Raw genomic sequence first — 25,660 nt, forward strand, 5'->3', positions numbered from 1 at the left:
CTTCCTGTCTAATTCCAGTGTAGACCAACATCAGTGGAACACTCGATTATTTGTCTTCTTAGTCACACCTCAGCTTCTTATTCACTAATGACAGGAATGTATTTTCAAAGTTTTAGTTTCTTTTTCTCTGTTTTATTCCAAGACTGCTTTTCAAAAATGTTTCATTTCTTCTTTGCCATCTTCCTTACTGTATATTCTCTTCTAATCTCCCAGCTCATTTCCCAGTTGTTACAAACATTATCTAAGTATTCTCAATATTATGATTTTTAACTTATTTCATGTTAAATGTTTCCTATAGATTTCATGTGTATTTATTCTACCTAATATTAATATAATTATCCTGATCAAAATACTTTTTCATTTTACTGGCTATGGGAATTTATGTTCATTGGAGAAAAGGGTAGCTGGAATATGTGCTAAGTAAAGAAACAAGGACTAGTGTGTTGTGCAGATGTGTGTTTCTGCAGTCCTCAGCGGGCCCCTGTTCTCTGCTGCAGACTTCTCCATTGTGGTTGGGGTGCTGTTCCCAATGGCGGTCATTTTTGTGGTGGTTGCTATGGTAATCCGGCACCAGAGCTCCAGAGAAAAGCAGAAGAAAGATCAGAGGTGATCCTTTATCTTATCTTGCTGTAGGGACTCTTTGACCCCTATTTTACTTTACTTTAAATTCAATGTATAACCTATCCTTTCAAATTGAATTGGTTTACTTCTAATATTCAGAAATACATGCAGATGGTCTTTTTGGACGAGAAACTGGGTTTCCCTTTAACTGAGAAATCCTTCACATCTAGAAATGTTTTTTGTTTTTCCTTCTGTTAGTCACCGTAGTTATAATAATAAGAGTGATATTAACTCTCATTATGACAGATTTTTTGAATTTGTTGTAAGAATATAATATCTAACATTATTTGATCAATATACGATGAGCACTGTGCTAAGCACCGCCCCACCCACTTTTTTTTGAGACAAGAGTCTCCCTCTGTGGCCCAGGCTGGAGTGCGATGCTGCGATCTCGGCTCACTGCAACCTCCACACCTCCCAGTTTCAAGTACTTCTCCTACCTCAGCCCCGAGTATCTGGGATTACATGCACATACCACCACACCGGGTTATTTTTGTATTTTTAGTAGAGATGGGGTTTCACCATGTTGGCCAACCTGGTCTCAAACTCCTGACCTCAAATGATCCACCCACTTTGGCTTCCCTAAGTGCCGGGATTACAGGTGTGAGTCTCCACACCCGGCCGTGTGCTAAGCCCTTTTATATCTATTATCTTATTTACACTTCACAAGAACTTCATAAAGTGGTCATGAGTTTCATTTTACAGATGAGAAATGTTTTATGCTAACCCTTACACAATTTTGCAAGGTTAGGAACTTCACATTTTGATGGATATAGAAACAAGCTCAGAGAGATTATTAGCAAACATGCTTTCAGTCTTGCAGAGTAAGTGGTGGAGGCTGGGTTTGTCTCACGAACGTGATTCTGGCACAACGGTGTTTTTTTTTTTTTTTTTTTTTTTTTTAGCACTTTTAAAGAAAGACTTATTTACTCATGATGAGTTTTTTAATATTGAGTAAGACATTAATAAAACAACATAATTTAGATAAAATTTGGATTCAACACTATCATTTTTAGAAGTCAGGGGTTTTTGGAGAAAAAAGAAAACTAGTAGTGATTATGAATTACAAGGCAATGAAAGAGGCTGACGGGGAAGTAAAAACTGACCCAGGGAGCAGATAAAAACCCAGGCAATAGGCAAGAAAGACACAATGGGAAAAAGAAGTTGGGAATCTTCTACGGAGTTTCCCTGTCATGCTGAAGGAGCTGCTAAGTCAATTGATATCATGTGTTTCTCTCTTACAGGCCACTATCTACCACTGGCACCAGGCCACACAAACAGAAGAGGAAACCCCAGATGGTAAAGGCTGTTCAACCCCAAGAGGTGAACTATATAGTCTGGGCTGTGATTACCATGGCCCCACTTTGCGTTTCTCTCACACTCTTATCCTGACTACCTATCTATCATTTCTACCCAGCAGCGTTTTGCAGTAACACATTCAGAAATGTCTCCTTTGCCTTTTGTTAAAGGCAAAAGAGTCCCTAAAATGCCGAGGCTACTTTGCCGGGGTTCATGAAATGCAAACAGAATAAAGAGAACAAAGAATGCACATACCGGATGTCTGTCTGTCTCTCTCTTTGTCTCTGCTTCATTCTCTCTCCCTCTCTCACACACACACACTCCCTCTAGCTTATTTCTTTGCAAATTGACAAAATAGATACAAAAATATGTATGTCTGTATGATAATACATGTAATATTTATAACCCAAATGTCCTACTCATGTCCTGTAAATTTAAAGATTTTAGCTGAAGTTGGTTAATAACATTGGTAATCATTTATAACATTGGTAATCATTTTTTGATGAAAACTTTTCATTACAGCTCTGGGAAATACTTCTATGGAATACGCCAGCAGGACCACTGTGATTTTCTATCTGGTCTCTTGGTGTCAGCTTAGTTCCAAGCTTCCATGCCTTGAAAAGTGCTTACTTAAAAATTACTTAAAAACTGTGCTTATGAAACTAATGGTTCATTTTGAAATATTCGTTCTTCTTTTCAGATGAGTCAGATGAAGCCCCATGTGTATGATCTGCCAGTAGAAGGCAATGAGCCCCCAGCCTCTTTTGTGAGTTAGCAACTTCTCTTAAATACCACCCTAGTTCAATCTCCAGGAAATATCGGTGAAAGTCATAGCCCACAACACTTCATTATTTCTTCAGGACAATATTGAAATCTATGTGAATATTAATATAAAATACAAATTCTTCTGCAAAATATTTTGAAAATATAAAAAAATGAACATGTATGTCACTCCATGCCAACTTGTGACAAGAAGAGGACTAATCTGCTTAATAGAGTACCACTGTTTTCATCAGCTCAGGCTGCTGTAACTAAATTAACATAGATTGAGTGGCTTAAACAACAGATATTTACTTCTCACATTCTGGAGACTGGGAAGTCCAAGTTCAAGGAGCTGGCAGATCCAGTGTCTGGTGAAGCGGCCTTCTGGCTTGTAGACAGCTGCCTTTTTATTGTATCCTCACATAGCAGAGGGAGAGCATCTCTCTTGTGCTTCTTCTTATAATGGCATTAATCCTATCATGAGAGCTGCACCCTCACGACCTCATTATTTCCAAAAGGCCCCACCTCCAAATACCATCATTCTGGGGATTAGGGTTTCAACATATGAAATTGTGGGGTGACACAAACATACAGTTTATAGCAATCATCTTTATCAGATACCTATTGACATTGGACTTAGGTCTCAACTGTGTATGTACAACTAAATGAAAGCAATCAAACTCATATTTTACAATATTCTCATGGGTGGGGTCATGGCTTCTCCATTTCTGAAAATGATTTAAGTCTTTTCTTTATGCACGCCTATTTTCAGGACCCTATCTTTGAATGTAAATGTTTTATCCTTTTACTAGCTAATTACAAAGCCAGATTTTCCACCACCGCCAATTCCTGCACCTATATCATCTTCTTTGCTTGTAAGTATCAGATAGTCATTGGTGAATTTTTAATCTCTCACCTGCTCATTGCAAATACTGTCTCCACATCCATCGGTTATCAGGATGTGTACTTTTGAGGTTAACTTGAAATATCACAGCACATTTGTCCCAGGGATATCTAAAACTTCCTGTCTATAAATTAGTATGGATATTGATGTTTTATTATAAAAAATAGTATTGCTGTTATGCAATTATTGAGAAACGATAAATAGCTCTGCTCTGTGAGGTCTCAAAGATTCATTTCTAGATGTTTATTTAAGGAGATAAAATTTTATTAGGTGATATTTTACTTTATGTATATTAGTCATAGTTTTCTGTAGGAGGTAGGGTATGAAAAATGGGCCATATATAAGCAAACCTGGAATAAGAGTCAGGTGCTCATGAAGTAAGAATTACAGTACATTCACTCATTAAATGGCTCCTGAGCATTTTTCTTGTGCCTGGTATTCTGCTGTGGGTAAATGAGAAAGACCTACATTTGAGATTTTTTTCTTTCAAGAAATTTCACATTTTTAGTGAGAAAAAACAAGTCATATAAAAATGGAGCACTTAATTCTTCAACTGTTATTTGTAGTATCGCCCAAGACGAGTGACACTGACAGGAAAAATATGGTGAGGAGAAAGTCAACGGGCTTGGAGTGGTTAAAGTAGGACGAATATTCATTGGTTGAGTAGTTGGAATTTGAACTGGACCTTGAAAGTTGGGTAGAATTTAAATGAGTGAAGAAGAGCTAGGAAATAATTTCATTAAGGAAATAAATATAGCTAAGATGGGACAAGCATAGCATTTCTAATGCCATACCATTGTTTTTATAATTAACGTAGCATAAAGACACAAACGCACTTCCCCCTACTGTTTTCAAGGATAATCCAGTGTCTACACCTAAGGTAAGAGATCTATAGCCAAATTATTATATTCTTGTATTATAATCTCCTACTGTCAAGAGAAGGCCCACCATGTCTTTTTAGAAAAAAACTTACTAAGAACAGTATCTGTATGATTTGGAGATGGGTGCCAACATGAAAGTCTTATTTCTCGGTATGGCCAATAATTAAAAAGAGAAATTAGAAGATTCTCAGCTAGAAAGCTATGTAGACACCAATATTATTTATTTTCTCAGAAATATTCCCTAAGGATGAACATGAGAAGAAACCTCCCATAGAATAATAAGTATAGTATCCTGTAACTCTCCTTCTGGTCCCCTACCTTCTCCATATTATGCTAATTACCGGATAGATACTTAGATCTTAGTGTAGTGTTTTTCTCACTCCCTTCCTATCCTCTCACATTTCTACTTCTTCGTTTTTGCTGTATCAAGTGACCTATGAAATAGAAACTGACTTCAGATAATTTTAATTTCTTCATAGTTCAGCTTCATAATAGTAAATATCTAAATTTTTGAAGAAAGTTGATCATTTAGAAGTTATGTCTTTTTTAGGACTCAAATCCAAAAGCATGAAGCAACAGCTAAGCAAGAACTAATGGCTAAATTATCAACTTGGAAAACTGGAAAATCTGGATGGCAGAGAAATATACTATCTATCTCACCAGTATTTGCTCTCGACTCAAGAAGGTTAACATTTTCTGATTCATGTTAGACTTTGAAGAGACTAAAGAAAATTTTCAAGAGGAACATATGCCTGAGAACCTTTGCATGAATTTAAAATTTCAATTATCCATTCTTATAAGAAGGAAGATGATTGTAAAGAAATATCTCCGAAGTTAAAATCTGTAATAGGAATTGATTCATTCTCTAATGAAAACAAAACATAAAAACATCACACTAATCTTGGAGGAATAAGAAAAATTGTACATCCATTAAATGTACAATTGATTGCAACATCTTGATTGTTTTAACCATTAACTTGTCAAATTACAATCACAGTTAAGAAAATGATGTAAAATTCTGTTTTGTGGATCTCTTTCCTAGATTAGCTTCTGAAATCATTATTAGCTATATCATTTGAGGTTTTCTACAATTTGGTATAACTAAGAATTTAAAAATGTTTTATCATATATATTTGTATAATTAATTACTGGCATGGTTAAAGTGGTTTTCACTTTTTAAATGGAGAAAATTTCAGTTAAATTAATAGGATAAACCAGGTTGCGAACTGGTGACCTGTAGGCCATGTTTGCACTGCAAATATATTTGGTCTGAATGATATTGATATTGGACACATAGTACTTTTACATGTTTTGAATGTATTGCTAATATTTAAAAATTGAGAGATCTTGCATAAACAATAGATTCCCAGCTTTGTCAGATGTAATCTAAAAGTAATCCGATGCTTTGTCAACAACAGACTTACATTGCCCATAGCAACCGTCAGCTTAGTTGATGGGTAATGTAGCAAACACTATTGGTTTCCTACCAAATAATCCCCTTTTTCCTGGCTTTTAGAACAATAATTTTGTTCACCTGCCCACTTCTAGGAAAGAATATCCTATCTAATCTATCTATCTCAGGGATAAATCCCTATCCTTTTAAGTAAGTCAAGTCAATTAAAATAACCTCATTTTTCCTTGCTAGTGGTCGACTTGGAGATGATTTTATAATCCTCCCCCTCCCTTTTTTTTTTTGCTAGTAAGACGACAGAGGAATTATGTTACAACACTTCTGGAAAATTTTTCCTCGTCTCTTTTTCTGGATATGGGCATCTGAATACTCTAGCTGGTACTGCTGCGCTCCACACGGTGATTATGAAGGCTGAAAAAGATAGATAGAGCAGAAAGATGAAAAGAATAAAACCTGGCCTTTCAATGATGTCATGGAATTGGTAGATCAGTGACTGCTGGAGTTACCTCACACTTTCTTGGTACTCCTTATTATATGAGCCATACATTTTCCTTGTTGTTTAAGCCATTTTGAATTGGATTTTCTCTCACTTTCAACAGAGATCATCCTAACTAGTAAAGTAGCTGTTTCCATAATCAGGGAACATGCTTTAGTTCATCATCACAGCTACAGTTTTTCTTGTATTTGTCTGCTTCACCCATTTCTATCAATCACTTACCTGGTCCCCACAGGCCTGTCGCTTCATGAGGAACTTTATGGTTCATTTACCCTTGCAGTATGAGGTTCTAGATAAGCCCACTCTGGCCTCAAAAGTGAAGCTCAGTCCTCAGGAAATCCAGAGTCCACTGATCAAATCACTGTCAAGGATACAGGCTTTTTCTCCATGTGGCATTTGCAGAAGAACAACTTTAAAAGTAGAGCTTTATCTGCCCTGTGAGGTTTCAGAAGACCCTCCCCTGACCCAGAAATAAATCCCTATTTCCTGGAAAGCCATTATGTACTCGTGACCAACTTGTGAACTTTTCTGTGTTGTTGTTGTTGTTTTTTAAATATCTGTCCCCAGTAATAGATTCACCTAATCCTTTTTTATACTGATGGAATGGAAATCTTAAATCTATGAATCCTCAACTAGCCATGTACCATAACCCAAGCAAAAACTAAACCATACACTCTCAAAAGCAGTGGCATGTGAACATGCCTGCAAGTTCCTAAATGATGTCACTAGGTCCCTGATGCAGATGCATCATACGTCCTATTTGAAGAGAAGAAATGCAGTACAATGACAGGAAAACCATTATTTTATCATAGAACTGCGAACCCAAGTCCTACAATGTTTCCCTTTCAGCTCAACTGCAGAATAGTTTAGAACAGACTTTTTGATTTCACAATACTGTTTCCACACTTACTTATATCCGTAACTTTCTAACTTTAAGGGAATTCCGCTTATTTGACATTTAACTACCTCAGATATGCCACCAAACCTGTTTTCATCATTAGTTATTTTTACCTTGTCTACTTTAAAACAGTGAAATTATTAGGTTAAATTATGTTTTTATCCAGTTACTCTAAGATACCTTAGTGTTTGTCTACTTATTACAACTCACCAAATTACTGGTTTTATATGGCCTTTGGGAAGGCTTTTAGCTTTTTATAAAATAATGAAGTATGCATGAAAAGAAAGCAAATTTTAGTTGGTTGCAGTCAGAGAATATGGAAAGGGTTATTATTATAATTAGGATTTTATTATTCACATTGGAAATCACTGCTATGTGTTAAGGAATTGAAGGTGGCCTCTGGCTAGCAGCCATTAAGAAAATGAGCCCCTGAGTTCAACGACCCTCAAATGAAGTGAAGTCTACCAATAACCACTGAATAAGCTTGGAATTTTAGATTCCTTCCCAGCTGAATCTTGACTTCAGCCTTGTGAGACACCCTGAAGTAGAGGATGCAGCTAAATTTTGTCCAGATTACACACCCACAGAAACTGTATGATAATTAATATGTGTTGTTTAAAGTTGTTATGGTTTGGAGATATTTGTTATGCAGCAATAGATAGCTGATACAAGGAAGTAGAGAACAAACATTTTCTATTAGTCTGTTTTCACATGGCTATAAAGAATACCACCTGAGACTGGGTAATTTATAAAGAAAGGAGGATTAATTGACTCAGATTTCCACATGGCCTAGGAGGCCTCAGGAAACTTACAATCATGATGAAAGAGGAAGCAGAAACATCTCATATGATGGAAGATGTGTATGAAGGAGGAACTGTCAAACACTTATAAAACCATCAGATCTCTTGAGAGCTTACTATCTCGACAAAAGCATGGGGGAAACCACCCCCATGATCCAATCACCTCCCACCTGGTCCCTCCCTCAACATGTGGAGATTATAGCAATTAAAAAAATGAGATTTGGGGGGATGGACACAGAGCCAAACCATATAATGTTTTAAATGCTCCAGATAGGTTTAGGTAAAATTAACTATATTTAATAGGCTTTCATCACTGCAAAACTTTTTTTCCTTTCTTTGTGTCTCTAGTCTCTTCCATTTGTTCTCCCTTCTTTACTAGCACCGAGGATTTGCTTGAAATCTCTGATAGCCAGTATTCTCATTTATCATATTCTTTCTCACTTTGTGTTTCCTTGGTAATTTTGGATAACTCCTTAAATTTATCTTCCAAATTACTGGTTTTTATATTCTGTACTGTCAGTCCTCCTGTTCACTAATTTCAAAATTTATAGTTGTTTCTCTTGTTTACTTATATAGTTGTTTCTCTTGTTTACTTAATAACATTCTCTTCTTTCCTATCAGTTTAATTTTATAAAGGCTAACCAATTAACTGTTTTTAACTTATATTTCCAGATATTTTAAAAATTAAAGCAAAATGTGTATAAACTTTATTACTGCTTCCCACAGTAAATATTTTTCAGAAGTACATGCTTTCTCAGCCACTTGACTAGTATGTTCCCCATCATTCAAAGACACCATTATTTCCTAAGTGTTATATTGCTATTTTTCAGTTGGTGCATCCAATATTATTATCAGCTTTAATATTGTTTCATCATATGTCATTGTTCAAAGAATCCATCTCTTGAGCGTAAGCTAAATAATTTGCATACACTAGCATCTGGATGTAATATGGAAAAATATGGAAATGGTTGGGGTGATAAGCAAGTCTTGCATATTCTTTTCTCCTCAATTTTTTTTCTCCAAAGTGGGCCAAGCCAAGAGTGGCACAGCTGTGTGGAGATACTGAGCTCCACCTTGTCAGGGAAGATCCCAACTCAGGAGAAAACACCTCTAACAAAATCTGTAGCCACGTTGGCACATCTGCCCTTGAATTCACTTTGTCTCTTTTGCTGCTTCCATAAAAAGGCTTTCCCTTGACAATGTTAGGCACTTTTTAGCAACTAGGCCTGGGTGGTCTGCTACAATGCCCAACACTTAATACAGTATCACTATTACTGTTAGTAGTATGCTAAGCGAATACTATTGTTATAAAAAAAATCCTAAGCATGAAAATTACGGTATACAATTTATTGTGAAGGCAACTTCTTGTGAACATTAAACGGTTTATCTCCTTCACCTCATATTAAAGTCCATACTCTTGGGATATATCTGACATCTCAATATTAAATGACTAAGATGACTAAGTCGTTTATGTTGCTCCCACCTCACACAAAGTTAAAACTATTTGTTACTTTAAATAGTTTGACAATGTTATTTTAAAATCTGGACAAATCACAAATATAAAATACTTATTTAATTTTCTTCTGTAAAAAGATGTATGCTTGGTCAGGCACAGTGGCTGATGCCTATAATCCCAGCACTTTGGGAGGCTGAGGTGGGTGGATCACGAGGGTCAGGAGTTCGAGACCAGCCTGGCCAAGTTGATGAAACCTCATCTCTACCAATAATACAAAAATTAGCCAGGCAGGATGGCGGGCACCTGTAATCCCAGCTCTCAGGAGGCTGAGGCAGGAGAATCACTTGAACCCAGGGCACAGAGGTTTCAGTGAGCCAAGATCGTACCACCGCACTCTAGCCTGGGTGACAGAGCAAGACTGACTCCACCCAAAAAAAAAAAAAAAAAGCAAAAAGAACAAAGCTGGAGGCATCACACTACCTGACTTCAAACAATACTACAAGGCTACAGTAACCAAAGCAGCATGGTACTGGTACCAAAACAGAGAGACAAACCAATGGAACAGAACAGAGGCCTCAGAAGTAACACCAGACATCTCCAACCATCTGATCTTTGACAAACCTGACAAAAACAAGCAATGTGTAAAGGATTCCCTATTTAATAAATGGTGTTGGGAAAACTGGCTAGCCATATGCAGAAAACTGAAACTGGACCCTTTCCTTACACCTTATACAAAAATTAACTCAAGATGGATCAAAGACTCAGACGTAAGACCTAAAACCATAACTCCAGAAGTAAACCTAGGCAATACCATTCAGGACATAGGCATGGGCAAAGACTTCATGACTAAAACACCAAAAGCAATGGCAACAGACGCCAACATTGACAAATGGGATCTAATTAAACTAAAGAGCTTCTGCACAGCAAAAGAAACTATCAGAGTGAACAGGCAACCTACAAAATGGGAGACAATTTTTGCAATCTATCCATCTGACAAAGGGCTAATATCCAGAATCTACAAAGAACTTAAATTTACAAGAAAAAAAAAATCCCCCATCAAAAAGTAGGTGAAGGATATGAACAGACACTTTTCAAAAAAAGATATTTATGCAGCCAACAAACTATGAAAAAAAGCTCATCATCACTGGTCATTTGAGAAACGCAAATTAAAACCACGATGAGATACAATCTCATGCCAGTTAGAATGGTGATCCTTAAAAAGTCAGGAAAACAACAGATGCTGGAGAGGATGTGGAGAAACAGGAACACTTTTACACTGTTGGGAGTGTAAATTAGTTCAACCATTGTGAAAGACAATATGGCAATTCATTAAGGTTCTAGAACCAGAAATACCATTTGACCAAGCAATCCCATTACTGGGTTTATACCCAAAGGATTGTAAATCATTCTACTATAAAGACATATGCACACGTATGTTTATTGTGATACTGTTCACAAAGCAAAGACTTAGAACCAACCCAAGTGCCCATGAATGATACACTAGATAAAGAAAATTTGGCACATATACACCATGAAATACCACACAGCCATAAAAAAGGATGAGTTCACGTCCTATGCAGGGACATGAAAACCATCATTGTCAGCAAACTAACAGAGGAACAGAAAACCAAACACCACATGTTCTCACTTATAAGTGGGAGTTGAACAATGAGAACACACGGACCCAGGGAGAGGAACATCACATACCGGGGCCTGTTGCGGGGTGGGGGAGTAGGGGAGGGATAGCATTATGAGAAATACCTAATGTAGATGATGGGTGGGTGGGTGCAGCCAACCACCATGGCACATGTATACCTATAGTAACAAACCTTCACATTCTGCACATGTATCCCAGAACTGAAAGTATAATTTTTAAAAAATTTAAAAAACAATATATGCTTAATATAGAAAGGTTGAGAAACAAGAGAAAGTACTAAGACAAAAATTTTTCCTAATCTCACCAAGTATGATTTCAATCAACACTTGGAAATATGACCTTTTCCTCTCTTTTCTGTCTGGTATATAAGTTAAGTATTAATTCAATATTTATGCTATTTGTATTATGGCTTTTAATTTTACTTAGTAATATGACACAAATCTATAAGAATATTATGCAGCCATCAATACTATTTTATTAATGAATAATGTTTTACTTAATATCTGATTCAACAATGAAATCTTTTTTCAAAAATGTTTATGGCTAAAATAATGCAGTGATGAACAATGGTGTATATACCATCTAAAGGCAGTTCTCTGTATCACAGTTCGGGTTCCTGGGCAAGCAGAATCTGAGATGGATTTTAGCAGCCAGGAAGTTTATTATGGAGGGCTTTCAGGTCAGGTCCCCTATTTGTTTAATGGAATGGGAGAAAGCAGGATTAGGCTGGAGGAGTTGGGAATGATGCTGCCTCAAAGAAGGCTTTAGCTGGCCCAGCCAGCCCTGAACCTGGGCTATCCTTCAGAATGAAGCCAAGTTGAGGCAAAAGGGAAAAGCTTTTACTCCCTCATGTCAACTAGTCACAGGTACAAATTGCTCTCAAAAGAGCTGTGACCTTGGGCAAGATGACTTTATTTAGTGAAAGCATTTTCCAGGTACAAATTGCTCTCAAAAGAGCTGTGACCTTGGGCAAGATGACTTTATTTAGTGAAAGCATTTTCCAAGGCAAGTTGATGGCTGTCTGCAGGTAGCACAGCCAACAATTGGGGGATAAGTTCTTCTGTGCTTAATGGCGACCTGTGCAGCCCAAAACAAGGCCTATTTTTTCTTTGAGTCTGGGTTTCATTGCATTGCTCAGACTGGTCTCCAAGTCCTAGACTCAACAATCCTCTTGACTCAGCCTTCCAAGTCACTGGGATTACACATGTGATCCACAACACCCAACGTTTATTACTTCTTATTTCCTTTGGATAGTACTCTATATGTTGGCTAGCCCCCTAAAAGTTTTCCAACTTTTTTGCTACACTTTGCAAAAATTTTTCTCTAGTAGGAATATGTATGAATTTAAATTTCCATTAGCAATTTATGAAACTGTTTCCACATAGGCATTCTCATTCTTAATACCTGCCTATCTTAACACCTTTCCTTGCTTAGAGGATTCCCACATTGCACATCTTGGAGATATAGCTCCTTTGCTATTTGCAGTGGCAACTGGAAATATTCTGCATGTTGTTACCAGATTCTTTTTATTTTTTCCTGGAGACAGGGTCTTGCTCTCCTCTCTTGCACCAGGTTGGAGTGCAGTGGCATGATCTTGGCTCACTGTGATTTCAACCTCCCAGGCTCAAGCAATCCTCCTACCTCAGCCTCCAAAGTAGCTGGAACCATAGGCATGCACCACCACACTCTAATTTTTGTATTTATTGTAGAGAAGGGGTCTTGCCATGTTGCCCAGGCTGGTCTTGAACTCCTGGGTTCAAGTGATCTGCCTGCCTTGGATTTCCAAAGTACTGGGATTCCAGGCTTGAGCTACAGTGCCTGGCCAACCCTCTTTTGCACCTATGACATAGTTATGGCCAAGGATCTACCTTTCAGATGTACCCTCCCAGAACTTTGAATCAGAAGTATGTAATATAAAGCAGAAATTACAGAGAATTATCTTTGGTGATGCACACTGTTATAATAAGGTTGAGTTCCTCAGGAAGTCTTGAGACTAGTGCCAATTGCTGGTTCAAGGCTGGTCTAGTGCAAGGAGTATCAGCAGTGTCAGCTGAGTGACTGGCAAGGGTGAGACAGACATTCTGTATTATTCAGCTCCACGATACAGGCTGGAATTCCTCATTGCATAGCTACCAAGTTTGGTTCTCCAGTCCTCATGTCGAGTCCTTCAGCTACCTAAAATCCTTTGTTTTAACTCAAATATTATGTTTTATTGTGGTAAAATATATATGACATTGAATTTACCATTTTAACCAGTCTTAAGAATACAATTTGGTGACATAAGTACATTCATTGTGCTGTGCAACCACCACCACCATCTATTTCCAGGACCCATTCGTCATTCCAAACAGAAACTCTATATCCATTAAACAATAAATCCCCGTTATGTTTTCCCCTCAATCTCTGGTAACCTCTACTCCACTTTCTGTCTCTGAATTTGCCTATTCTAGGTAGCTCCTATCAATGGAATTATACAGTATTTTTCCATCTATGTGTCTGACTTATTTCACTTTGCACCATGTCTTCAAGTTTCATCCATATTGTAGCACGTATCAGCATTTCATTTATTTTTAAGGCTAAATAACCTAATCATCTTTTAATATATTTATTTTCTATTTGAGAGGGCTGGAGATAATTTCTGTTGCTCCATGTCATCATTCAAATTAACATTGTTTTTCTCCACTTTATACATTTTAATTTACAATTTTTTTTGATGGCAAACCTATTTTAAAATGGATAATGATACATACTTTATTCCTAGTATTTTAGAACCTCATTTAAATCAGTTATTGCTATTCTCTTCTTCATGAGAACCACATCCATTGTTTCTTTCTAAGCTTAGTTGACCAAGCACAGACAATGGCTCAATGTTGAAATCTTAGCTGTGCAATCCTGATGGGAACAACAATTTAAGGAAGTTCAGAAAATTATCTAAATGAAAAATGAAATGATGATGCTATGACTAGAGATAACGGTCCCCTCCTGATGTCCCAGTAGCTTTTGAGAAAGCAGGTATCAACTGCTGGACCGCAAAAGTTGCTCCATTTCTCATAGAGAAGACTCCAATGCACAGGCCAAGTGCTATGTCTCAGCAGATAACACTGTTCCCTTGTAAATCAACATGTGTTGCCAAATTGGCCTTGATCTCTCTAACTGCTGTGGAATAGCTCTGAGATTCGTGGGTCTCTTGAGACATGTTGTAAGTATAATTGAAATGGAGCCTGCAGGAGCCAGTTCCTGGCAAAACTCTCTCAGTTCTTTTGTGCCCATGGCAGGGCTGAGTAGATCCACTGGAAAGCTGCAGTCTCAGATAGGAAATAAGGGAACGAAAATGTAGCAGAAATATAAAGACAAGAGAATAAGAGAAAAGTCAGTTTTTGGTGCAGGATGGTAAGCCACACACAGAAAACAAAGTATAGATAGTCCTCCTGGCTCTGCCAAAAACTAGCTCTTTAGCCTTATGCAAATAATTTCAATTCTTTGATTTTACCAGTCTTAAGTATACAATCTGTACATTTACTCATCTATAAAATGAAATTAAAAATGTATGACTTGCCAATATTCAAACAGGATTTTTTTGTTCTTGTTGAGACAGAATTTTATTCTTGTTGCCCAGGCTGGAGTGCAATGGTGTGATCTCGGCTCACCGCAACCTCCGCCTCCTGGTTTCAAGCAATTCTCCTGCCTCAGCCTCCTGAGTAGCTGGGATTACAGGCACACACCACCACGGCTGGCTAATTTTTTGTATCTTTAGTAGAGGCAGGGTTTCACCATGTTGGCCAGGCTGGTCTCGAACTCCTGACCTCATGATCAACCCACCTTGGCCTCCCAAAGTGCTGGGATGACAGGCATGAGCCACTGCACCCTGCCCCAAAGAGGATTTTCTAAGAAACATGTAAGGGCAGCATGAAAATATAAAGAGAAGAGAGGGAAATGTCCATCATCTAGAAAGGCAAGTAGCACGTATCCATCAGTGCCTACCTGAAGGAGGACTCCGTTGTTGAGCTTGTCAGCACAGAGACCCTCTCTGAACAGTCTATTGCATCATATGTCTTTAAGCAGAAAGTAAGGTTTGGGGAAATAATTACTTGCTGTTTGTACATATTTCATTGGTGAGTACGTATTTCACTGGTGAGTTTTTTTTGAGACAACATCTCTCTCTGTTGCCCAGGCTGAAGTGCAGTGGCATGGTCGTGACTCACTGCAGCCTCGACCTTCTGGGCTCAAGTGATCCTTTCACCTCAGCCTCCAGAGTAGCTGCAACTATGGGCATGCACCACTACACCTGCCTAATTTTTAAATGTTTTTTAGTGACAGGGTCTCCCTGTTTCCCAGGCTGGTCTCAAGTTCCTGGGCTAAAGTCATCCTCCTGTCTCAGCCTCCCCAAGTGCTGAGATTACAGGCATGAGCTGCTGTGCCCAGCCGAGTCTTTTTTCCTTGGTCTTTTATTCTCCTGATGTGCTTTTAGAATTTTCTCCGTAATCCTATTCGGTTTTCTCATCTTATATAATTAAGTTGAATCTCAGTCAGAACTTCTGGGCCAAATAAAATACTGTCCTAGATCTGAGGCTGCATTGTGCAAAGACCCTGGATTCATATTTTGGGGAAATTAACATGGACTGAATTCATACAATTTTTAGAAAATAAAGTCATAGCCAATTTCAAATTTGATTATTTCTTAAAGTAAGGATATCATAAGGTAATAACAAAAGTACACAGTAGCACATTCTGATTTATGCAAGTTTGTGTGTATTTTTGTGTGTTCGTATGTGTGCATGTATAATTTCACTTAACATTTATGACAGTCTTGCACAGGAATCTTACTTCCTTTCACACAACCACACTGTCTGCAGCAAAACTATTTTGCACTGAGAAGCACATTTAATACTATATTATTAAATATGAGAATTCTATTTTATCTCCAGCAACAAATTCTTCTAGGCAATGTTTCCAGTGAAAGTGTATCTGAAGTTGCAGTCAAATCTTTTTTTAATTTTTTCATTTCCAACTTTTATTTTAACTTCAGAGGTACATGTGCAGGATGTGCAGGTTTGTTACATAGGTAAGTAAACAGGTGCCATGGTGGTTTGCTGCAGATCATTCCATCACCCAGGTATTAAGATCAACATCCATCAGCAATTCTTTCTGATCTTCTCCTCCTCCCAACCCCCTCTGACAGGCCCTAGTGTTTGCTGTTCCCCTGCATATGTCCATTTGTTCTCATCATTTAGCTCCCACATATAAGTGAGAACATGTCATATTTGGTTTTCTGTTTCTGTGTTAGTTTGCTTAAGATAATGTGCTCCAGTTCCATCCATGTCACTGCAAAAGACATGATCTCATTTCTTTTTATGGCTGCATAGTATTCCATGTTGCTTATATACCACATTTTCTTTATCCAGTCCATCACTGATGGGCATTTAGGTTGATTCCATGTCTTTGCTATTGTGAATGGTGCTGCAATGCAGACAGTGGATGTGTCTTTTTAACAGAACAATTTCTATTCCTTTGGTTATGTACTTAGTAATGGGATTGCTGGGTCAAAAGGTATTTCTGCCTCTAGGTCTTTGAGCAATCGCCACACCCTCTCTTACAACAGTTGTACTAATTTATACTCCCACCAATAATGTAAAAGCATTCCTTTTTCTCCACAGCTTTGCCATCATCCATTGTTGACTTTTTAGTAATAGCCATTCTGCTGCAGTCAAATCTTATGCCCCTTGATTTTCTACTCCTGAAAATCCGTTCTCATTTTTCCCCATTCTTGTTACTAGTGATTAGCAGAGAGCCTGGGAAATGGTAAGCACTCAATAAATCAACTAACAAAAGTCTTCCACCAAGATTCTGAGCTTAATACATTGTGTAATTTACACTTATCTGGTTGTTTTCTGTAATTCTGCAATACAAACATTTACAAAGTCTCCATTTACTAAGTGGACACTGGAGCTAGAAGGATTAACCTCTTTCCCTGCCGTCCAGGGATTCTCATCCTAGCTCTAGAGACTGACATAAATATAGAAATAAATAATCACTAAAATAAATTGCTAAACTATGAGAACAAGAAAGTACAGAGGAAATGTTTATCAAGAGAAGGCATGAGAAGTTTCTCAGAGGAGGTGCCGTTTAAATCTTGAACTCTAGGCAATTTATCAGATCTATAAAGGAAAAAGAGAAAAAAAAGTCTTCTAGAAAATAACGGAGTTAAATAATAGCCTTGCTAAGTCATGAATCCACAAGGGCCATGACATGTTCAGGGAACTGCAAGCAGATCATCAAGACTATGGAAAACCAAAAATTGTTATTTTTGAATACGTTTAGGTATTTATATATACCATGTTTCATCAAAGATACATACATATTTGTGCATACACAAACTTAGGAGATTTAGAAAAGTATAACACCCCCCAAAAATGAACATTTAAGAAAATCAGAAAGCAAGAAAGTTCTAGAAACCATAAAGCCATGGGTCAGATGAGACTTGTGAAATTTAAAATATACGGCCCTACGTGTTTGATAAATATGAGCTCCAAACTGTACTCCAAACTATCTAAGAATAAAAAAGTAAACAAGAAAAGTAAACAGGATTTATATGAGACTCACAGTGTCTATAAAGAACAAACATACCATCATGGAAGACAGCAAAACCACATAAACACAACAAAATCAGCCAAGTGAATAAAAATTAATGGTTAAGACTGAGCTGTACATACCATCATGGGAGACAGCAAAACCACATAAACACAACAAAATCAGCCTAGTGAATAAAAATAAAAAAGACTGAGCACAGCTCTTTTTGCTTCTGAGACCTAAAATTTGTACTCAGGATGGTGTTGCTGTTGTATCCAACTAGAGAACCTGTCTGTACCTTTTGCTTGATTCCCCACCCTGGGAGCCCCTCAGTACTTCATGGCTACAGACTCTTGGCTGCCTGCCCTAACCACACTGCAGTCACACACACAGTCATAAATAAACCCCAGCAGGAAGCGAGACATAGGCTCAAATTAGAACACCCTCTCAACCTTTTCATCAATAACTTTCAGCACTGCTCAGGGTAATGGAAAAATTGTTTCTAACTGAGCTGCATATCATGAGTTTGGAAGCCAAGTAATAGCTTGCCTATTCATATCATCACTGAACAAGTTATTTCACCTACTTTTAGAATACTTGAAATACTTTTTTAATATAGATCATAGCATCTTTAAATTTTCCTTCGAGGGAATTCAGTATCTGAAAACACAGTGGCTTTAGTGACATTGGTTACAGTTTTATCACTGCCTAATCATTAATTATAATTTTTAAAGGTTCTCAGTTGATTATTTGAGGAACTGTATTTTCCTTACAGAATAATTCCTAGGTATATTGGATGATCTTTTCCGGTGACTAAAGTATATGTAGGGTGTTTGTTACAATATTTGTTCTCTTATCCTTTAATTATTTTGTTTGTAATCAATCCAGCATGGAGTAAAAGAAATAAGAGTAAAGTAATATGTATATTTTTTATTTTCTAAAAATATTGAAAGAGTTCTTCATGTAATAATGGTTCTTGACAAAATGTATCAAGAACCATTTATACCAACCACTTTATACTAACAAAATCTGAACACAGAGGGAAGGAATCAAGATGTCAGTATTTTAATAAGTTCTAGAGATGAATCTAATGTATACTCTTGATTAAGAAACAAAGATTTAATGGAAATATCTCGGCTCTAGTTGGCTACCAACATCTTATGCCTACTATTATCTTAAGAGATTAATTGTATGCTGTAAGTATTGATCTTGATTATTCATGCAAATTAGTATCCGAAATAGCAAAAGTAATTTGATTATAAAAAATTCAAATTCAAAAATATATGTTTGTAATGTCAACTGTTTATCCAAAGAATTTTCAAATTCTAAACATAGGATATTTAACTGGTGGTACTGCTAAAGCCTCTGACTTTACCTGGAATAAAATTATTATGTTTTGTTTTTATTACAGTAGTTTTTGGGGAACAGGTGATGTTTCATTACATGGATAAGTTCTTCAGTGGTAATTTCTGAGATTTTGATGCACCTGTCACATGAGCAGTGTACACTGTACCCAATATGTTGTCTTATCCCTCACTCCCCTCCTAACCTCCTCCAAGTTCCCCAAGTCCCTTATATCATTCTTATGCCTTTGCATCCTCACAGCTTAGCTCCCACTTAGAAGAGCCTAGGATATTTGGTTTTTCCATTTCTGGGTGACTTCACTTAGAATAATGGCCTCCAGCTCCATCCAAGTTGCTTTAAAAGACATTATTCCTTTTTATGGTGGAGTGGTGTTCCATGGTGTACATACATCACATTTTCTTTATCCACTCATTGGTTGATAGGCATTTAGGTTGGTTCTTTATCTTTGCAATTGTGAGTTGTGTTGCTATAAACATATAAACATGCACATGCACATGTACTTGTGCCTTCTTCACAAAATGACTTCATTTCCTTTGGGTAGATAGCCAGTAGTGGGATTGCCGGATCCAGTGGTAGTTCTACAAAGTAAAATGTTTAAAAAAGGCAAATAATCTTGAAAAGATCAGCTTGTAAATAATGAGTAAAAGAAAATATTCAGACTTGAGATTATGATTTCTCTCCTGGTGGTTGCTGAAAAACTTTATATAAAAATATCAAGCATAAATAAGAAAATATTCATGACTATAGCAGAATCCAAAGCATTTTGGGAAACTCATAATAGGTGCAGCACTCTGTTCTTTCATTCATTAGAGGTTCATGCCTATGACCATGCACAAAAGACATGGCTTTTTAAAAATAGGCTATATTTTAGAGCAGTTTTAGGTACTTAGAAAAAAATTGAGCAGAAAGCAGAGATTCTTCCCTGCTCCCACACACAGCTTCCCCCACTATCAACATCTCATACCAGGATGATATACTTGATCATTGATGACTCTCCTTTGTTCCATTATTTTCATCCAATGCCCATAGTTTAAATTAGGGTTTATTCCTGGTGTATCTTCTCTTCTATGGGTTTTGACAAGTGTATGACGACATGTATCCACCATTATAGTATCATACAGAATAGTTTTACTGCCTTAAAATTCTCTTTTCTCTGCCTATTCATCCCTCCCTCCTCCCTAACTCCTGGCAGCCATTGTTCCTTTTACTATTAATAGTTTTGCTTCTTTCAGAATAGCATTATCATTGGAATCAAACAGTACATAACCTTTCAGATTGACTTCTTTCACTTAGCAATATTCATTTAAAGTTTCTCCATGTCTTTTCAAGCAACATAACTCATGTCTTTTTAGGGCAGAATAAAATTCCAATGTTTGGATGTCCCTGAGAGTAGCAGAATGTACCACTTCAAACGATGCCACTTTGACATAGGATGACTTCAAACTGAAGTCATTTGAATTACAGCAGGTGCAAGAAGGGGGCATTCCAATCATCCACCTTTCTTCCTGAAAACAGGAGATTAAAACTCCCATGTGAATGATTTTATCCTTGTATCAGTAGAAAGGAAACATTCTTCAATGCGGAGTCACAGCTGGGAGGATTCTGTAAAACCAGACCTTGTTAAAATAATGACCTTCCTTTGGCCTCCCCATATAATGTAGTTACTTTCCACAATTGCTTCTCTTTGTTCAATGTAATAAAGCATGGAGGCTTTGCCACTCTTTGGGTCTTGGTTCCCTGGGAGCTTTATGCGGCTCCCATGCCACATAAAACTTGTATTGTATAAATTTGTATGTTTCTCTCCTGTTTATCTGTTTTATATCAATTTAATCTTCAGGACCAGTTGAAAAAACAAACTCTAAAGGGACAAGTAAAATTTTCACCCCTATGTTCTGCAGTGTATTTATCAATTCACCTACTGAATGACATCTTAATTGCATCCAAGTTTTGGCAATTATGGATAAAGCTTGTATGAATATTCCAACTCAAGTTTTTGTGTGGATTTCAGTTTTCAACTCCTTTTGGTAAATCCTAAGTAGTGCTAATGCTGGATTGTTTGGTAAGAGTATGTTTAGATTTTTAAGAAACTGCCCATGGTCTTCCAAAGTGGCTGTACCATTTTGCTTTTCTACCAGCAATGAATGAGAGTTCCTGTTGCTCCACATCCTCGTCAGCATTTGGTGTTATCAGTGGTCTGGATTTTGGCCATTCTAGTAGTGGTATCTCATTACTGTTTCAATTTACGATTCCTAATGACATATGATGTTGAGCATTTTTTGTATGCTTATTTGCTAGACCTAGGCTTTTGAAGTACCCCAGCACCCTTTACTTTGTTGCAACTGGAGATACTTCACAAATAGATATTATAAATACTGACTCAGATGACCTCAAATAACCTCTGCATCAACAATATGTGAAACTTTGTGCAACAGTGTCTCACCACTAAAGCTACATGAACTGTTAGAGTTCTGTTTTCTTCTTAAAACACAGAATAGAGAAGTAAAGAAGAAAGGTAGCTAGGCTGATACACCTTAGTTTTATACTAAAAAGGGGGTTTTAATGACCCACTAAACTGAATGATGTAGTTGTAAGTACATTTAATGAAAAAAGAAAACATCTCTATATTTACCTTGGTTAAAAAGAATTCAATGGTTTAAAGCAAATTGCTCATTTTTCACAGTTGTCTTTTTCTCTAGTCTCAGCAAGTACTGAGAAACGGGAAGAAACCCCTAGATAATGTGGGAACCGGAGTGGGTTTAATTTTGGACCCTGGGCTGTGTGACGCTTTGGCTTGGGTCACAAGGCACTTTGGGGAGTCTGAGAGAGAGAAAGAGAATGCATTGTTGTGCTTCTCTGGCCACTTGCCAACTTTGCCTCGGACACAGTGCTGTGTGCATCCCTGCAGAAGCTGGAACTAGTCCTAGTGGACTCTGGGATCAATTTAGGGCAATAGAGAAACCTTGTGCAATGTGACACCAGAGAAAATGAAACTAACCTCTGGCAGTTGCTTTCTCACTCCACCCCCTCTCAAACCTCCAAAAGGTGTAAGTTTATGTTGTTCACTCTGCTTCTCTAAGGACAAATGGTGAAAATCTGACTTGAGCTCTATTTCTGGGTGGAGAGTGACTGACTGGTTTTCTGGTCCCCAGGTTTTGACATCTATGAGGAAGATTCATCAACTCCCAGCTCCCTAAGCTTTTCCGGTTGATAATATATGATATGCACTTCCCTCCATATGCATTGCTTAGTAGTATAAGTCCCACGCAAAAATGATATTGCTTGCCAGAACAGCAATACGTTGAGAAGCACAGACATTTGAAAAGAAAAATATACTGCATTATAGATCCGAATCTAAGCGTAAATATCAAGAGAAGGGCCAAAAAATAATATACATATTAATAGGAATAATGGATATTTGAAATATGAAACCACAAGAAAAAAATGAATTAAGGAACATTTCAGGTATAGAAAATGGAAGAGTTGAAATACAGAATAAAATAGGTAGAATGAATACTAGAATAGGTAGAACTGAGGAACAAATCAGCAAACGGGAAAGATCAAATAGAGAAAATTTTCCAGAAGAAAACAAAAATTAGCAAAGCAATTTTTTAAATAAGAAAGAGTAAAAATTACAGAAGGTAGAAGTAGAAATGCTAAAATTAAAATATGAATCCTACAAAAATGGATATTTCCAAAAAATGGACATAAGGAATTACTTGAATAATGGAGATGAATTATTTAGACTTGAGAAAAAAACATGGCAAGGCAAAGAAGAGAGAAGGAAAAACAAGGCATAAAACAACAATCCTGGCCTCTAAGAACATCATGGCATTATAAAAATATCTGGTTCAAAGGATTATAAATCATTCTACTATAAAGACACATGTACATGTATGTTTATTGTGGCACTGTTCACAATAGCAAAGAACTGGACCCAACCCAAATGCTCATCACTGATAGACTGGATAAAGAAAATGTGACACATGAACACCATGGAATACTATGCAGCAATGAAAAAGGATGAGTTCATGTCCTTTGCAGGAACATGGATGAAGCTGGAAACCATCATTCTCAGCAAACACAAGACCAGAAAACCAAACACCGCATGTTCTCACCCAAAAGTGGGAGTTGAACAATGAGAACACATGGACACAGTGATGGGAAAGTAACACAGCAGGGCCTGTCAGGGGGTGGGGGGCGAGGGGAAGGATAGCATTAGGAGAAATACCTAATGTAGATGACAGGTTGATGGGTGCAGCAAACTGTCATGGCATGTGTATACCTATGTAAAAAACCTGCACGTTCTACACATGTACCCCAGAACTTAAAGTATAATAAAAAAATCAAAAACAAAGAGAAAATTCTATAATTCTAAGAGAAATGGATTACCACATAGAAAAAAAGCAAGAGCCCGTTGATCTCAGAATTTTAGAAGGAGAAATAGATTCAAGAATAAAATAAAACAGTAAAGTATTGAAGTTTCCTTCAATACTAAGTTCTTTTCAGAACTTAGACTCTAGGATTTTACATTCAAATGGTCCCTCAGTTATAATGGTTTAGTTAAAAAATATACTCAGGAATACAGGGTTACAGAAACATAACTATGTAAAGAACCATTTGAAAAGTATTTTTGGATAAATTAATAAATTAGAATAAAGATAATTTACAATATACTGCAAGAGACATATGAAACAGAGATAACCAAGTACCTCAATAAAATTATGTATCCTAAACAAAATTATTATAACCAAATAAAACCAGAAATTATATCCATAATTATGCTCATTTGAAAGCCTAGATCAGTTCTGTGCAATAGAACTTTCTGTGATGAAACTATTCTGTACCTTCACCATTCCATATGGTAGCCAATAATCACACAGCTACCAAGCTTGAAATGTGGCTTCTGTAACTGAGAAACAAAATATTTAAATTGTGTTTAATTTTAATTATTTAAATCTTAATAGCCACAAGGAGTTCATGGCTACTTTTCAGGCATTATAGGTCTCAATAATATCAATATGTTGTAGGGCTTGGGGGAAAGCAAGGGATATGAAGCAGGGTGGATAAGTTATAAGACAAAGATTGACAGACTAGATAAAATATGGGTACACGTTATTTCTAAATAATACATCTAACATAGAATTTCATGCAAAGACTGAAAACAAACGGATAGCAATAGATGTATCAACTCATGTAGGCACCTAATTATCAAATATACATACTTTACAGTGGAAAGCATCATTAGGGATGGAGGAGGTAAGTGATAGAGTCACTGTATAATTTTAAAAGGTACAATTTGCAAAGACAATATAGAGTTTTACATATCTTTATAACGAATAAATTTATAAAATTACAAGGAGAAGTTCATGTATCCACCTTCACTGTGTCAGATTCAACATTTCCTTTTTGGTTGTGAATAGTGCAAATAGGCAAAAAGCTAGGAAGAATATTTAGGCAAGCTGAATAATACAATTGTCAACCTAGAGCTACTGTACATATGCACCCAATAACAAGTAAAAACATCTATAAAAGTATTACAGTATATAACCAAAAATACAATAAAAGAATTAAAAATACTAAGAATATTTTAATAATAAAAGGAGGCAGGGAAGAAAAAGAGAAATAGAAAATAATGCAAAAAATGGAGAGAGATAAGAAAATAAATGCAAAAAAGGAGAGAGAAAAAGCAAAATAGCATATCCCCTCATCGTACCAATAATTATATAAAACACAAATTGGCAAAGCAACTAAAATAAAAGGTAGACACATTTTAGAAACAGTTTTAAAAAGACTGGGTTAAACCCTGACAAAAATATATTGTGTTAATGTAAAGATAAAATTGAATGTAAAAAGACATACTATGCAAATATTCCTTAGAAGGTGATGTGACTATAGGAATACCAGAAAAATTAGATTTTAGTAAAAAAAATATATATATCTTAATATATATATATTTTTTATGTATTTGTTAGAGACTACATATATATATATATATATATATATATATATATATATATATATATATATATATATATATATGGCTGGAAATAAAGAGCAGCATTTCCTACTAATTAATTCATCACGAAGACATGATAATTCCAAATGTTATATGCTTGATAATAAAACTTAAAAAGCTAGGGGCCTAGCTAGTTCCCTCCAGTCCTTTTATAAAAGCACTAATCAATTCCTGAGTGCTCCATCCTCATGACCTAATCACTTTTCAAAGGTGACACCTTTTAACAACATCGCATTAGGTATTGCATTTTAACATAAAGTTTGGAAGGGATGCAAACATTCAAACCAAAGCAGGCATTCATTATTTAAAAACACTTCAGAAAAAAATAAGAATGGAAGGGAACTTTCTAAACTTGATAACATTGACCAAAAACCTACAGTTAATATTAAATCTAATGATAAAAGATTGAATGGTTTTGTCTTAAAACTGGGAACAAGGCAAGGACATTTACTCTCAACACTTTTATTCAACAATGGGCTGGAAGTTTTAGCCAGTGCAATGAGTCAAGAAAAGTGGGGGATCGGGGG

General features: G+C 36.6%; 1 protein-coding gene and 1 long non-coding RNA gene across 17 annotated transcripts in view; one reads left to right on the forward strand and one right to left on the reverse strand.

Annotated features, from left to right (window-relative positions):
* Positions 1–9,648, forward strand: part of ADAM28 (ADAM metallopeptidase domain 28) — a 64,946-nt gene extending 55,298 nt beyond the window's left edge. For 6 of the 16 annotated variants that reach the window (NR_130710.2, NM_014265.6, XM_047421272.1 and 3 more), the window contains 5 exons: positions 498–606; positions 1,866–1,944; positions 2,621–2,686; positions 4,404–4,466; positions 5,018–9,648. Coding sequence is in view for 15 of the 16 variants with exons in the window: in NM_014265.6 (NP_055080.2) it covers positions 498–606; positions 1,866–1,944; positions 2,621–2,686; positions 4,404–4,466; positions 5,018–5,038 (338 nt within the window). In the remaining variant the exon portion in view is untranslated. Of the gene's footprint in view, positions 1–497; positions 607–1,865; positions 1,945–2,620; positions 2,687–4,403; positions 4,467–5,017 lie in introns of those variants that run through there. The other 10 variants (XM_005273380.5, NM_001304351.2, XM_011544368.4 and 7 more) reach the window with 7 other exon arrangements.
* The window catches only part of ADAM7-AS1 (ADAM7, ADAMDEC1 and ADAM28 antisense RNA 1), a 252,805-nt gene that overhangs the window by 53,553 nt on the left and 173,592 nt on the right, over positions 1–25,660 (reverse strand). The window lies entirely within an intron of this gene.

Source organism: Homo sapiens, chromosome 8, assembly GCF_000001405.40.
Source record: "Homo sapiens chromosome 8, GRCh38.p14 Primary Assembly".
Classification (NCBI taxonomy): domain Eukaryota; kingdom Metazoa; phylum Chordata; class Mammalia; order Primates; family Hominidae; genus Homo; species Homo sapiens.